The sequence below is a fragment of the Homo sapiens genome, chromosome 11 (genome assembly GCF_000001405.40).
Source record: "Homo sapiens chromosome 11, GRCh38.p14 Primary Assembly".
Lineage (NCBI taxonomy): Eukaryota > Metazoa > Chordata > Mammalia > Primates > Hominidae > Homo > Homo sapiens.
This window is the reverse complement of record NC_000011.10, coordinates 85,524,784-85,540,960: the sequence shown is the minus strand read 5'-3', so window position 1 is coordinate 85,540,960 and position 16,177 is coordinate 85,524,784. Positions and strand designations below refer to the sequence as shown.

The 16,177-nt window shown below is 39.2% G+C and overlaps 1 protein-coding gene across 12 annotated transcripts in view, besides 2 other annotated features; it reads left to right on the top strand.

Annotated features, from left to right (window-relative positions):
• DLG2 (discs large MAGUK scaffold protein 2) overlaps positions 1-16,177 on the top strand; it is a 2,173,362-nt gene that overhangs the window by 87,413 nt on the left and 2,069,772 nt on the right. The gene's annotated exons all lie outside the window — the stretch shown is intronic.
• Positions 632-1,170: an enhancer, noted in NCBI's record as "H3K27ac-H3K4me1 hESC enhancer chr11:85250835-85251373 (GRCh37/hg19 assembly coordinates)". NCBI's record gives its function as "activates a minimal SCP1, AML or CMV promoter by ChIP-STARR-seq in naive H9 embryonic stem cells {active_cell/tissue: H9 hESC(naive)}" and the evidence as "EXISTENCE:reporter gene assay evidence [ECO:0000049][PMID:30033119]".
• Positions 2,741-3,240: an enhancer, noted in NCBI's record as "H3K27ac hESC enhancer chr11:85248765-85249264 (GRCh37/hg19 assembly coordinates)". NCBI's record gives its function as "activates a minimal SCP1, AML or CMV promoter by ChIP-STARR-seq in primed H9 embryonic stem cells {active_cell/tissue: H9 hESC(primed)}" and the evidence as "EXISTENCE:reporter gene assay evidence [ECO:0000049][PMID:30033119]".

Sequence of the window (16,177 nt, the reverse complement as noted above, 5' to 3'; positions counted from 1 at the left end):
GAGGGTGGTAACAAAAGTTGTTTTCCAACTATTATAATTTGTATTGAAATGGGAGGAGTTTTCTTATCCTCCTCGCAGGGCGTGCAACAGGGATGTGGCTTGCTTCTTTGGTGCCTGGCTGCTCAAACCCCTAGGGGGAGCATACAGATGGGCAGGTCATGGGCAGTTTTTGGGCTCTGACCCCACAGCAGCGTCTAAGGTTGAGTGTTTATAGCTCCCGAAGTCCCAGTGGGTGTGTGTCACAGTGTGCTCTTTTAGCTTTGCTGTTTTGCTGTCTGTAGGCAGCTTGTGTTAATCCGCCCAATTAGAGCCTCTGCTTTATCACAAGGACAGAGGGCTTTCTGTATCCTGAATTATTGCCCTGGTGTACCAGAAAAATTGAATCACATGTGGGCTTGGAGGATGGCTGCAAAGTTTTATTGATTGGAAGTAGCTCTCAGTGAGGTGAATGGGGAGGCCAGAGGGGGATGGAATGGGATGGTGGTGTTTCCCTGGAGTTTGGGCTGCCCAGCGGCAGGCATCTCCTCTGATCACTACTGACCAAATTCCACATGGTCCCACCATTGATGGCCTGTCAGCATCTGCTGGTGTCTGTCAGTGTGCTCTTCTGATCCTCTGTTCCTCTCGATGTCCAGCTGCTCGTGTGTCTGTGCCTGCTAGGGTCTTGGGGTTTTTATGGGCACAGGATGGGGGGATGTGGTGGGCCAGAGTGGTCTTGGAAAATGCAACATTTGGGTACGGAAACAAGAGTGGCTGTCCTCACTTATGTCCGTGGGCAAAGGCCCAAGGGTGGATCCCTCACCAGGGACCCTGGCCTTCTCTACCCAGCATTTCCCTTCCTGCACCACCCCCCTGCCGCTTTGCCCCTTTATCAGTATGATTGTATCTAAAGCAGTATTGGAGTCAGGGAATTGGTTGTAGCACTTTGAAAGGTGGGCCCATGGTCAGGGACTTCTCAGCTCAGCAGGAAATAGCAGAAGATAAGACAGCAGATGTTTTTGCACTCGCAAACTAGGAAGTTGTGACCTCTAGGGTTGAGTATTCATTGCTTAAGGTGTGCCTGAAGCCCCAGCTGAAATGGCCTCCTGGCTCTATTTTAGGTGCCTTGACTAAACCATTTCCATTTTCCTTCATCAGCTTCAATCTATATTTCTTGCCTTAGCTCTTGTAACCCCTGTACTACAGACACGTCAAACTCTTTAAAAACTTTTTTTAATTTAACATTTTTGTGGGTACACAGTAAGTGTATATATTTATCGGTTAAACTCATTTCTAATGATGATTTTTTGAAAAATCATGAAAAAGAGTAACATAAGATAGTTACTCTTTTAAAGTGTACAATTTGGTGGTTTTTAAATATGTTCACAGAGTTATGCAGCTATCATCAGTAACTAGCTCCAGAATATTTCCATAATCCCAAAAAGAAAGCTCATACCCATTAGCAGTAACTCTAATTCTTCCTCTCCTTAGTACCTGGAAACTATTATTATACTTTCTGTCATAGGGGAGGAAATATTTCCTCAATTCTTCTAGCATTCCTGGCTAGGTTTGAAATAAAACAGACAAAGGAAGATTAATGGGAGAAAAGCATAACAATTCATTTAATCAAAGTTTTATGCAGCCCAAGAAACTTCAGAAATAGATCCAGAGACTCAAGGGACAGCTGTCCATTTTTATGCTTAGATTAAATGGAGTGACAGCTGTATCATGTGTCAGGATGACCGAGCAGTCTAAGGCACTGCATTCAGAAATGTGATAGGATAAAAAAAGGGAATGATCTAATGGTAATAGACTTGAGTGGAGAAACCCAGCAAGGCCTACCTATTTAGATGCCTCTTGATCCATGTGTGGCATTCCTTCCTTTCAGGTATAGGGCAGCAGGTCTTCTGCAATGAAGGTCTTAATGCTCTACTTTCAGACAAGGTGGATCTGAGAAGGTGTTTTTTTAAAAAAATGTAATTTAATTTTGAGTTCTGGGATACATGTGCAGGGCATGCAGGTTTGTCACATATTTAAATATGTGCCATGGTGTTTTGCTGCACCTATCAACCCATCACCTAGGTATTAAGCCTCACATGCATTAGCTATTTATCCTGATGTTCCTCCTTCCCCTGTTCCACTCAACAGGCCCCAGTGTGCATTGTTTCCCTCCCTGTGTCCATGTGTTCTCACTGTTCAGCTCCCATTTATGAGTGAGAACATGCAGTATTTGGTTTTCTGTCCCTGTGTTAGTTTGCTGAGAATGATGGTTTCCAGCTTCATCCATGTCCCTACAAAGGACATGAACTCATCATTTTTTATGGCTGCATAGCATTCCACGGTGTATATGTACCACATTTTCTTTATCCAGTTTATCATTGATGGGCATTTGGGTGGATTCCATGTCTTTGCTATTGTGAAAAGTGCTGCAATGGACATATGGATGCATGTATCTTTATAATATAATTATTTATATTCCTTTGAGCATATACCCAGTAATGCAATTGCTGGGTCAAATGGTATTTCTGGTTCTAGGTCTTTGAGGAATCACCACACTGTCTTCCACAATGGTTGAACTAATTTACATTCCCACCAACAGTGTAAAAGTGTTCCTATTTCTCCACAGCCTTGCCAGCATCTGTTGTTTCTTGACTTTTTAATAATTGCCAGATCAGAGAATGTCTTTATGGCCAGCTCTTACATAGAAAGGTTACAGTAACGTTTCTAGGTTTTATGACTGGCTTTGGGGGATAGTGTGTCTAGAATTGGTGGGTTCTTGGTCTTGCTGACTTCAAGAATGAAGCCATGGACCCTCACAGTGAGTGTTACAGTTCTTTTTTTATTTTTTAATTTTTTATTATTTTTTGAGACGGAGTCTCGCTCTGTCACCCAGGCTGGAGTGCAGTGGCGCGATCTCGGCTCACTGGAAGCTCCACCTCCTGGGTTCACGCCATTCTCCTGCCTCAGCCTCTCAAGTAGCTGGGATTACAGGTGCCTGCCACCACGCCCTGCTAATATTTTGTATTTTTAGTAGAGACGGGGTTTCACTGTGTTAGCCTGGATGGTCTCAATCTCCTGACCTCATGATCCACCCACCTGGGCCTCCCAGAGTGCTGGGATTACAGGCTTGAGCCACCACGCCTGGCCGCGTGTTACAGTTCTTAAAGATGATGTGTCCGCAGTTTGTTCCTTCAGATGTTCAGATGTGTCCAGAGTTTCTTCCTCCTGGTGGGTTCGTGGTCTCACTGACTTCAGGAGTGAAGCTGCAGACCTTCACAGTGAGTGTTACAGCTCTTAAAGGCGGCATATCTGGAGTTGTTCATTCCTTCTGGTGGGTTCGTGGTCTTGCTGGCCTCATGAGTGAAGCTGCAGACCTTCGTGGTGAGTGTTACAGTTCACAAAGGTGGCACGTCTGGAGTTGTTCATTCCTCCCATCTGGAGTTGTTCATCCCTCCCGTCTGGAGTTGTTCATCCCTCCTGTCTGGAGTTGTTCATCCCTCCTGGTGGGTTGGTGGTCTCACTGGCTTCAGGAGTGAACCTGCAGACCTTCATGGTGAGTGTTACAGCTCATAAAGGCTTTGCGGACCCAAAGAGTGAGCAGCAGCGAGATTTATTGCGAAGAGTGAAAGAACAAAGGTTCCACAGCCTGGAAAGTGACCTGAGCCAGTTGCCCCTGCTGGCTCTGGTCGCCTGCTTTTATTCCCTTATCTTGCCCCACCCACATCCTCCTGAGAGAGCTGACTGGTCCATTTTACAGAGAGCTGATTGGTCCGTTTTACAGAGAGCCGATTGGTCCATATTGACAGAGTGCTAATTGGTGCATTTCCAAACCTTTAGCTAGACACAGAGTTCTGATTGGTGCATTTACAATCCCTTAGCTAGACGCAAACGTTCTCCAAGTCCCCACCCAATTAGCTAGACACAGAGCACTGATTTGTGCATTTACAAACCTTTAGCTAGACACAGAATGCTGATTGATGCATTTACAATCCTTTGGCTAGACAGAAAAGTTCTCCAAGTCCCCACCTGTCCCAGAAGCCCAATCAGCTTCACCTCTCACTGGCATTCACTGTGGGACTTTGCGGCACCTAGTCTGGGCACTCTGGCAGCCCAGAGGGAGCTCGTCCCAGACAATCAAGAGGAAAAGAGGGGAAGCGAGAAAGAGATGGAGACCTGGTATTGTGGCCAATCATCCCGTGAAAAGGGAATGGCGGTCCATGCATGGGATTCAGCCTCTGATCAAGCCCAGCAGGCATCAGCCCGCTGCCCTGAGTGCGGGGCTTGCCAAGCCTGCGCTCACCTGGAACCCGCACTGGCCTGTGAGCACCGCACGCAGCCCCAGCTCCTGCCTGCGCCTCTCTCTTCACACTTCCCTGTGAGCAGAGGGAGCCGGCTCCAGCCTCAACCAGCCCCAGAGAGGGGCCCTCATAGCGCAGCAACAGGGTGAAGGGCTCCTCAAACACTGGCAGAGCAGACGCCAAGGCCAAGGAGGCCCCAAGAGCGAGTGAGGGCTGCTAGCACGTTGTCACCTCTCAATAGGGTTCTAGTTCTAGTTTCTATGACCTACCTTAGAGGAGGAAAGGAGGAGAAAGGAGGGCAGGAGAATAAGTTTAGAAAGAGTCTGCTTCTGGGGTCCTCCCAAAGTGCTTCAATTTAAAGGATGCAGCATGCCAAGGTACTGTACTTTGGGGGTATTGTTTTCTAAGTCCTGACATTGTCTGTATGGATTTGCCTATTTAAAACTTTTTTTTTTTTTTTTTTTTTTTTGAGACAGGGTCACACTCTGTTGCCAGGCTGGAGTTCAATGGTGTGATCTCGGCTCACTGCACCCTCTGCCTCCCAGGCTCAAGTAACCCTCCCACCAAAGCCTCCCAAGTAGCTGGACTACAGGTGTGTGCCACCTTGCCAGTCTAATTTTTATATTTTTTGGTAGAGATGGGGTTTCACCATGTTGCCCAGTTTGGTCTCTAACTCCTGAGCTCAAGCCATCTGCCTGCCTTGGCCTCCCAAAGTGCTGGGATTACAGGCATGAGCCACCACACTTGGACTATTTTAAACATTTTATATAAATGGAATCCTACATTATTATGTGGCCTTTTGTGACTAGCTTCTTTCACCAACATAATGTTTTCAAGCTTCATCCATGTAGCATGTATCAGTACTTAATTCTTTTTTATGACTGGATATTATTCTTTTGTATGAATATATCATATTTTATTTATCTGTTCATGAGTTGATTGTTGGATATTTGGGTTATTCCCGTATTTTGGCTATTTTGAATAATGCTGCTATGAACATTTGTGTACAGATTTTTGTGTGGACATCTGTTTCCATTTCTCTTGGGCATATATCTAGGAGTAGAATTGCTGGTTTATATGGTAACTCTGTTTAACTTCTTGAGAACTGCCAAACTGTTTTTCAATGTGGTTTCACTAATTTGCAATCCCATCAGCAATACATGAGAGTTCTACCTTCTCCACATTTAAACTTTTTAATGATGGAATTTAAAAAATATATCTCTTCATTCATTCAGTTTATTCAACAAAAATTATTAAGAGCAAACTGCTACGCACTGACATTATTTTTATATATATATTTATTTATTTATTTTGACCCCATCCAATGACCTATCAAATTGGTATAATCTTTATGGAAGTAAACATTATATGGTACTAGCAATACTGTAATATTTATAATACCTACAATGTTTGAAATTATTTTTTTCTTTTTTCTCCTCAAAGTCAGCTAAATACTCCGCATCACCACACTGCAAAACAAACAAAATTCCTTACCATGGTCTACAAATCTCCCTATATTTTCCTTTCCTCTTCCTATCATACTTTGCTATGAGTCATAAACTTTTTCTAACCTCTACTCAAAAGCAAGTAAAACCTAATCATCACAGAAATACAAGTCAAAACCACAGTGAGATACCATGTCACACCAGTCAGAATGACTATATTAAAAAGTCAAATAATAACAAGTGTTGGTGAGGTTGTGGAGAAAAGGGAACGCTAATACACTATTGGTGAAAATGTAAATTAGTTTAGCCCTTGTGGAAAACAGTGTGAAGATTTCTGAAAGAACTGAAAATAGAATCGCCATCCAACGCAGCAATCCCATTATTGCATACATACCCAAGGGAAAATAAGTTATTTTACCAAAAAGACACCTGCACTCATATGTTTATTGCAGCACCATTCACAATAGCAAACACATGGAGCCAAGCTAGATGCTCATCAACGATGGAATACGTAAAGGAAATGTGGTACATATACACACATGGAATACTGATATTCAGCTATAATCATGTTCTTTGTGGCAACATGGATGCAGCTGGAGGCCCTTATCCTAAGCAAATTAATGCAGAAACAGAAAACCAAATATCACATGTTCTTATTTATAAGTTAGAGCTAAATATTGGGTACACAATTGACATAAAGATGGGAACAATAGACACTGGGGACTCCAAAAGTGGGGAGGTAGGGAGTGGGGCAAGGGCTGAAAAACTACCTGTTGGGTACTTTGTTCACTGTATGGGTAATGGGATTATTAGAAGCCCAAACTTCAGCATCACACAATATACCCGGGTGACAAACCTGCATAAGTACCCCCAAATCTAAAATTAAAAAAAATTATATTTCATGGAGGAAATGAAATAAAAAAGACCTTTTTTTAGTTAATATAAATTTAATTTAATTTAATTTGAATTGCTTTCTAAAATACTGAGAGTAGACCAGGCGCACCTTTCACACTTTTAATGTCAGCACTTTGGGAGGCTGAGGTGGGTGGATCATGTGAGTCCAGGAGTTAGAGACAGACAAAAATTAGCCAGGCATGGTTGCGCCTGCCTGTAGTCCCAGCTACTCGGGAGACTGAGGCAGGAGAATTGCTTGAACCTGGGAGGTGGGGACTGCAGTGAGCTGGGATAGCGCCATTGCACTTCAGCCTGGGCAACAGAATGAGACTCTGTCTCAAAAACAAACAAACAAAAAACAAAAAACCAGAGAGCAACATTTTAGTGGGCATATATTGTTCTATTAAAATAAACCTAGAGTTTTCCTTAAATGGAATTTAAACATTTGTAAACAGCCTTCTTAGCTAATCTTATTCTTTAGCTTTTCCTCTAAAGCTGTATAAACTTGTGGAGGCTTCTGATTAGCTCAGCTACATTAGTATTCCCTTCTCTCAGGCGTAGCGCTGAACCTAAAGAATGTTTTCCGATTCACAATCCAGATAGATTCTTACAAGAGGTAGATCAAACAAACCAATAAGGGGAAAGAAGTGCCTGCCACTGGATGCTGTGGGATATATATGTGTATATCTATCTATATCTATAATAAATTATTCTAACAAAAGGACACCTGGACTTGCATGTTTATTGCAGCACCATTCACAATAGCAAAGACATGGAACCAACCTATATGTCCATCAGTGATGGATTTAGATAAAGAAAATGTAGTACGTATACACCCTGGAATGCTATTCAGCTATTAAAAAGAATTATATATATATATATATATGTATTTTATGTATATATATGTATTTCATATATATATTTCAATATGTATATAGTGTGTGTATGTATTTTAAAAAGCAAGTAAAACCAAAGGCACACCTTAGCCAGTTAAAAAAAATCACAATAAAACACCTTAGGAGGCTGGGTGTGGTGGCTCATGCCTGTAATCCCAGCACTTTGGGAGGCTGAGGTGGGTGGATCGATTGAGGCCAGGAGTTCGAGACTAGCCTGGCCAACATGGTGAAACCCCATCTCTACTAAAAATACAAAAATTAGCTAGGTGTGGTGATGTAATCCTGTAATCCCAGCTACTTGGGAGGCTGAAGCAGGGGAATTGCTTGAACCCGGGAGGGGGAGGTTGCAGTGAGCTGAGATCATGCCATTGCACTTCAGCCTGAGTGATAGACTGAGACTCCGTCTCAAAACAACAACAACAACAACAACAACAACAACAAAAACACCTTAGGCATCTCTAATTTTGAGTCACAAAATTTCTTTTCATATATTCTAAGATAACCTGTTTCTAAAATGTATACTTTAACAAAATGCATTGTTTTTTGTTTCGTGGAATTTTTAACATAAGATAAGGAACAGGTGTGGGACATTAAAAAAAATAGCTTTGATTTCAGGACAATTTACTTGCAATCCTTACTGATAGAAATTAAAAACCAGGGTTAGTTATCTACTCAGAGCCTTTTCTATGGGCAGATCATTAGTATATAAGAGAATTCTTACCTTTTACTGTCTAAGTTGGAAGAGTATTCTCTTCCAGTGGAGCTATTAACAGATTAAGTTAAAAAGAAAGGATGTGACATATGACAGCACTGCCCATCCAAATATTACTGCACTGGAAATTATGATCTGTTCTATCTGTAGACCATACATATAGGTAACAATAGTTGGTGTGCTCTGTGATACTCATGTAACTTAGCCAATAATTGATTTCTGTTCAAAGGCATAGAAAAGGAATAACAACAAATGAATACATCATATTTCTGAATCAGTATTTCTACAAGGAAGTATAGAGGATAGCAGCAGGTGATCTGTGGCAGAATCACTAAACCTAAAGCCTTCCTGCTCCTCATATGGAACAAAGATGAGGGAAACTAGTCTTGGAAAATATCTTCCAGGAAGCTCTGCTAGAGCCAGTTCCCTCTAGTTTTCTGCTGTCCTTGTTCATTACTAGGTGTTTCCATCTAGTTATTATGAATAAATAATAATTAAAAGACATATAAACATTAGTTTGCTTTTTAACATGTGCTTGTATTTCATACGTAAGACCACTTTTTCTTTTGTATATACTGCGTAGTGTAGAGGACTATGTAAGTGAGAACCTAGAAAAGCGAGGGATTATGATATTGAAATATTTTTTCTTATTGCATATAAACTATACCTAAATGTATTAAACAACTTTTTTCTTTATATTGGATCTCTCCTTGGATAATAATGGGTATAAAATTATATGGTTAAATGCCTAGGTTTTGGATTTTGTTATCCTGGGTCTCTCAAAATTCCAGTTATGTGACTTTGAGAAAGTTGCTTAACATTTTTGTTCCTTAGTTTATTTGTCAATAAAATAGGGAACATATTAGCATCTTTCTCACAGGGTTATTGGGAGATTTATAATCTATTCAGATTATTTAATATGTTATTGCTATGAACTCCAGGGTAAGAAAGAAGCCTTCTTTTCTAATTTTATCTTGCAGCGTGTGTCTTTCTCCACCCCTCCACCGCTGTGTAACCTGATTCAGTCACAGGCTCACTTTATTGTATCATGCCTTCACAGGTGTCTACGCCCACTTCTCTTCCTGTCAAAGATAGGCTCAGAGCTGGTCTCTTCCTCCCACTAGCTCTTTTCCTTCTAGCCTTCTCAAGTTTTTTCATTCCTCTTTCAAAACTCCTTTCCTGTAGCAACAATCAGTCTACATTTTAAAATTCCATTGGTTTGTGACGTCTTGGATGAGAGGCTCTAATTTTTCAGTTGTGATTTATTTTTGAATACCCCAAAGTGCTGGCACAAAGCAGATATAAAAACATGTGTATTGAATTGAGTTAAATACTGGCTTGAGCATCTGAGGTTGTAGAAATTCGGGGTAGCAGTTATTCTTAAATCACCCTGTTTGGCATGGTCTTGCTTCATGCTCCTGTACTAACATCTGGTGATGATGTATATGCTGCAACACTTGAAAGAGCCTCTCCAACAGCAAGCTTATTTAGGAATGTAGGATAAGGGAATAACAACACTCATCATTTTACAATTATTGTTTTAAAGTTTGATATCACTATAATGATTTCATACTCTTGGCATTTAAAAATAATTGAATTAGTTGTTATAAATACTTTTAATGACCAGTAAGGAAAGGGAATAATGTAAGAATACATTGTATTAAGAGTTTCTTCTATTTTCATTTACTTATTTTAAGAAATCCCAGTCTAATTTTAAAATTTTATTTTATTTACGAGGGAAATAGGGGGAGGGCAGAAAGCCTCTAAGAAGTTCTGAGTGGTCCCCTAACTCTTCCTGCTCAAGTTCAGGAAATTATTATACAACTAAGTCAAAGTAAGTGGCTTTGAAAGTAGTGTGTGATAGCTATGTAATATACAGAGGGACAAAGCATTTTAACTCTACTTCTAACCACAAGGCATTAGGCCAATAGACTCAGGAAGCTGATCTTGGCAATAAACTGTTGAGGCCCCAAAAGGAAGTGTAAGAATGGTAGCCAAAACAAAGCAGAACCAAAGCAAACCTTATTGTCTTAGTACCTGGGGTGCAGAATACTTTGAGCAATAGGCAAACTCAGAAACTCTATTAGTCTATAAAAAAGCATTAGAAAAACACCCTAGCCAGGTGTGGTGGCTCGTACCTGTAATCCCAGGACTTTGGGAGGCCGAGGTGGGCAGATGACAAGGTGAGGAGTTCAAGACCAGCCTAGCCAATATGGTGAAACCCCATTTCTACTAAAAATACAAAAAAATTAGCTGGGCGTGGTGGCATGTGCCTGTAATTGCAACTAATCAGAAGGCTGAGGCAGGAGAATCGCTTGAACCTGGGAGGCGGAGGTTGCAGTGAGCCAAGATCATGCCACTGCACTCCAGCCTGGGCAACAGAGCGAGACTCTGTCTCAAAAAAAAAAATAAATAAAATAAATAAAATAAAAATAAAAAAAGGCCAGGCGCAGTGGCTTACACTTGTAATCCCAGCACTTTGGGAGGCTGAGGTGGGCAGATAACCTGAGGTCGGGAGTTCAAGACCAGCTTGACCAATGTGGAGAAACTCCATCTCTACTAAAAATCCAAAATTAGCTGGGTGTGGTGGTGTATGCCTGTAATTCCAGCTACTTGGGAGGCTGAGGCAGGAGAATCGCTTGAACCCATGAGGTGGAGGTTGTGGTGAGGTGAGATTGTGCCATTGCACTCCAGCCTGGGCAACAAGAGTGAAACTCCAAACTCCACCTCAAAAAAAAAAAAAAAAAAACAAACCCTCTCTAGGCAGATCTACCCCTAAGTTTACTTGGCTAGAAGAGAAAGTGGTAAATTGGTTTAAAGAAAATGGTTTACAATCCTCCTGCCATAGTTTCATGTGAGGATGTGTAACATGACTAGTAGATAAAGACAAACTCATCTCCTTGTCTGGGAGCCTTTGTTGTTTTATGTAAAACATATAACTGTATTTGGTGGTCCTGGAGACACTGGACCTAAAGTGTTTGAGGAAAGGAAAGTTGGTACAATAATCAAAGGCATGGAGATTTTATGTGCAAAGTTATATCTGAGATTAAGAAACTTTAATATAGAAATGGAAAGGTAAATGGTGGGTATGATCAGAGTCATTAAAATTGTAAAGTGTATGAAGAGTCTGAGTAGACTTGTTCACCAAAGTCAAGAATACTAGAACTAAGGGGAACTTTTTAAAGCATGATGAAAATTATTTTAGGAAAATAAAAGGGAACATTTTTCTATCAGATGACTACTAGATGCCATAGGACTTTATTCTTGTAGCAAGTGAACAAGATAAAAAATAGATATTTCTAGGATGGATTTAAAAAGATTGATAATCTTATTTGGTCATTAGATGAATTTGTACACTAGTCAGATTTGGCTGGATAATGGTGCAGCAATAAATAATTTCTGAAATCTCAGTAGTTTAGAAGACCAAAGGTTTATTTTTTGTTCATGTTACATGTTCATAATTTGTCGGGGAACAGGTGGTGATGGTAGGGCTCTTTACGTGGACCTCACTCAGGAATGTAGGTGAAGGAGAGTTCCATCTGTATGCTCCTACATTTCTCAAAGCAGGAATGAGGGATATGACAACTTGCAAACGACCTCTCAACAATTGTGTGTGCATATATATTTGTGTGAAACTGGCAAGATGATTCTAAAATACACGTAGATTCGTCTTTTTCTTGACATTATGCTTGTGAGATTAATAATGTAGTTGCATACAGCTATACTTCATTAATTTTCATTGCTGTATAGTATTTCATGTTATGAATATTCCACAATTTGTTCAGTCTATTGGTGAATAACATGAGTTGTTTCTAGTTTTGTTGTATAGGCACACCTCTGTATTTCCCTTGGTGTACACATTTCTGTTAGTTATATGCTTAGAAACAGGGCCAGCTGAATATTTGTGCGTCTTTCTGCAAAATGAAAATGTTAAGTCTGTTGTTCAACATTTATTAAGAATTTCAAGACAACTATAGCAGATAATTAAACTAAGCACAGGGTCCTTCTAAGTCCAAGGCCCTGTGCAATTGCATGGGTCACATACTCATGTAACTACTCTGATTTGGGGATTTATTTATTCATGAAGCATAACCCATTTGAGTGCCAGGAATAGAATTGCTAATTTGTAGGTTATGCATAAATTCAACTCAGGATTAAATGCCAAACTGTTTTCCAAAGTGTTGTACCAGTTTACTCTACTGCCAACAGTGTATGAGATTTCCTACTGCTTCATATTATTAACATTAACTTAACATCTCATTGTGTTTTATTTTGGATTTTCCTAATGATGAATGAAATTTAGCACCTTTTCTGCTGTGCAAACTGGCTAGCCATATGCAGTAAACAGAAACTGGACCCCTTCCTTACACCTTATACAAAAATTAACTCAAGATGGGTTAAAGACTTATATTTAAAATCCTAAAACCATGAAAATCCTAGAAGAAAACCTAGGCAATACCATTCAGGACATAGGCATGGGCAAAGACTTCAAGACTAACACACCAAAAGCAATTGTGACAAAAGCCAAAATTGACAAATGGGATCTAATTAAACTAAAGAGCGTCTGCTCAGCAAAAGAAACTGTCATGAAAGTGAACAGGCAACCTAGAGATTTGGAGAAAATTTTTGAAATCTATCCATCCGACAAAGGTCTAATATCCAGAATCTACAAAGAACTTAAATAAATCTACAAGAAAAAAACAAACAATCCCATCAAAAAGTGGGCAAAGGATATGAACAGACACTTCTCAAAGAAGACAACAAGCATATGCAAAAAAGCTCATCATCACTGGTCATTAGAGAAATGCAAATCAAAACCACAATGAGATGCTATCTCATGCCAGTTAGAATGGTGACCATTAAAAAGTCAGGAAACAACCGTTGCTGGTGAGGATGTGGAGAAATAGAAACACTTTTATATTGTTGGCGGGAGTGTAAATTAGTTCAATGATTGTGGAAGACAGTGTGGTGATGCCTCAAGGATCTAAAACCAGAAATGTCATTTGACCCAGCAATCCCATTAATGGGTATATACCCAAAGGATTATAAATTATTTTACTATAAAGACAGATGCACAAGTATGTTTATTGCAGCACTATTTACAATAGGAAATACTTGGAACAAACCCAAATGCCCATCAATGATAGACTGGATAAAGAAAATGTGGCACATACATACTATGGAATACTATGGAGCCATAAAAAATAATGAGTGCATGTCCTTTGCAGGGACATGAATGAAGCTGGAAACCATTATCCTCAGCAAACTAACACAGGAACAGAAAACCAAACACCACATGTTCCCACTAATAAGTGGGAGTTGAACAATGACAACATGTGGACACAGGGAAGGGGACATCACACACCAGAGCCTGTTGAGGGGTGGGGCGCAAGGGGAGAGAGAGCATTAGGACAAAGACCTAATGCATGTGGGGCTTAAAACCTAGATGATGGGTCGATAGGTGCAGCAAACCACTATAGCATATGTATATCTATGTAACAAACCCACACATTTGGCACATGCATCCCAGAACTTAAAGTAAAATAAAAAAAAAAAAAAATAAAAACATCCTTTAGGCAAAAACAAACAAACAAAAAACCCCAAGAAATTTAGCACCTTTTCATGTGTTTGTTGTTAATTTGAACATCTTCTTTGTGAAAGTTTGTATTCAAGACTCTTGCCCATTTTAAAAGTTGGTTTGACCATGTCAGTTAGGAAAACTACAGAATAAACAATGGATAAAATATACACATTTTGGTTGTCTCCTGTGAGCCTTAAATTTTTTCATTGAAAAAGTGATTTACATCCTATCAATGCAGAGGCCTAAAATTAGAGTCAATGAATATTATTATATTCACATGTTGTGTTTTGACCTTTAGTATTTATGTTGGGCCCCTTTTTTGCTCCCAATTACAGAAAAAAACAAGTACAAAGGTCTCTAGGTAACAAAAAGGCTATTGTCATTAGAGAAGGAAGGTGATCTTCTTTCTTGGTCTACTGATTCAAATGCTAATCTCTTCCAGAAACATCCTCACAGACACATCCAGAAAAACTATTTACTAGCAATCAGAGTTTCCCTTAGCACAGTAAAATTGACACATAAAATTAACTATTATTCTCATGTAGTTACCAGTTCTAATGCTCTTCATTCTTGGTATAACTCCAGATTTACATATGGTGTCATTTTTCTTCTTTCTGAATGACTTTATTTAACATTTCTTATTGTGTGGTTCTGCAGTTAATGAATTCTTTCAGCATTTCAATGTCCTATTTTGTGTTCATTTTTGAAAGATATTTGGATATAGAACTCTAGGTTCACATTTTTTTCTGTCAGGTCTTTAAAGATGTTGCACTACTGTCTTCTGGCTTGCATTTTTCTGATGAGAAGTCTGATGTAATTCTTATCTTTGTTCCTCTATATAAGGTGTCTTTTTTCCTCTGACTCTTTTAAGATTTTTCTCTGTATCACTGATTTTAAGCAATTTAATTATGAAGTGCTCTGTATAGTTTTCTTCATGATACTTCAGTTACATGAAATCTGTTTTATCCTTTTAATTTTTGCTCTTGTGCTTTGTTAAACAAGACTAGAGTAGCAGTTAGTCTAGGGCTAATTCTTCCCCACTAGTGAAACAATACACTTCTCAGGCATTCTACCCAATGCCTAGTGAATTAAGAAGGTTTACATTTTGGCTAGTGGGAAGAGGAAATATTCCTAGATCTGTGTCAGCCTTAAGTACTGTTTTCTCTAATCCTTTTGGGTGGTTCTTTTCACAGCTTCAGATAGTTTCCTCTCGTTCATGTACTGATAACTGCTCTGCTAAAGACTAAAGGCGGATCCTCTGTAGATCTCCGGTACTCTCTGAGATCTCTCCTGTCTAGTCTCTGTCCTTTAAATTCTCACTGCCTTGATCTCTGCAGATTCCCAGCTTCATCTTCTCAGAGAGACTACATGCATAAACTGAGTTCTCTATTTCTGTGCTGTGGCCTGAAAATATTCTCCTGGCAGTAATCTGTGAGAATAGGGCTTACCTCATTTCTTTACCACATCTCAGGCATTACTGTCCTTTGTGCTTTTTCCAATGCCTTGAAAATTATTATTTCATATATTTTGCTCATATTTTTACTTGTTTCAGTTTAGATAGTAAATTTTGTATCTGTTACTCCATCCTGTTTCATAGTAGAAATCTCTCAGGAGTCTGTACATATTTGGAAGAAAAGTTGTCAGGATTTTCTGTTCTAATAAGTATTTCGTATATTCCTTTAAAAATCTTTACATTCTTTATTTTTCTTTTTCATGCTTTACTACACTAGCTAGGATATATGGTAAATATTGAACAGACAAGGATAGATAATGATAATGAAAACCTTAGTTTCATTCCTGACCTCACTGGGAAAGGTTTTAACATTTTACATCAAATACAATTTTTAAAAGTTCTTTGTAGATGTCACTGATTACATTCAGGAAGTTCTCTTCTACTCCTAAGTTGCAAATATTTTCTTACTAAAAAAATTGTGTTGTACTTTTTCAAATGCTTCCTCTGCATCTACTGAGATAATCAAAGGATTTTAAATTTTATTCTGTTAATTTGGTAAATTACATTAACTATTTTTTAGGTAAAATTTATATAGTGTAAATGGATGTTAAGGGTACTAATAAATGAGTTTTGACAAATGTTATAATTTTACATGTTTTTTTCTTAATAGGAAAGAACAAGAGAAAGGAAGGAAGGAAGGAAGTTATACCAGGTATATACATTTGTCAAATGTATGCCAGTATTCCCATTGAGATTCACAAACATGGAACATTTCCATCATACCAGACGTTTCTCTCATACTCTTTCTGTCAATCTTGTGTCCACCCTGAAACAATAATTTCTTTTTTTTAATAACCAGAGATTGAGTTTGCCTGTTCGTGAACTTTGTATAAATAAAATTAGAGTAGCAGTGGGGTAC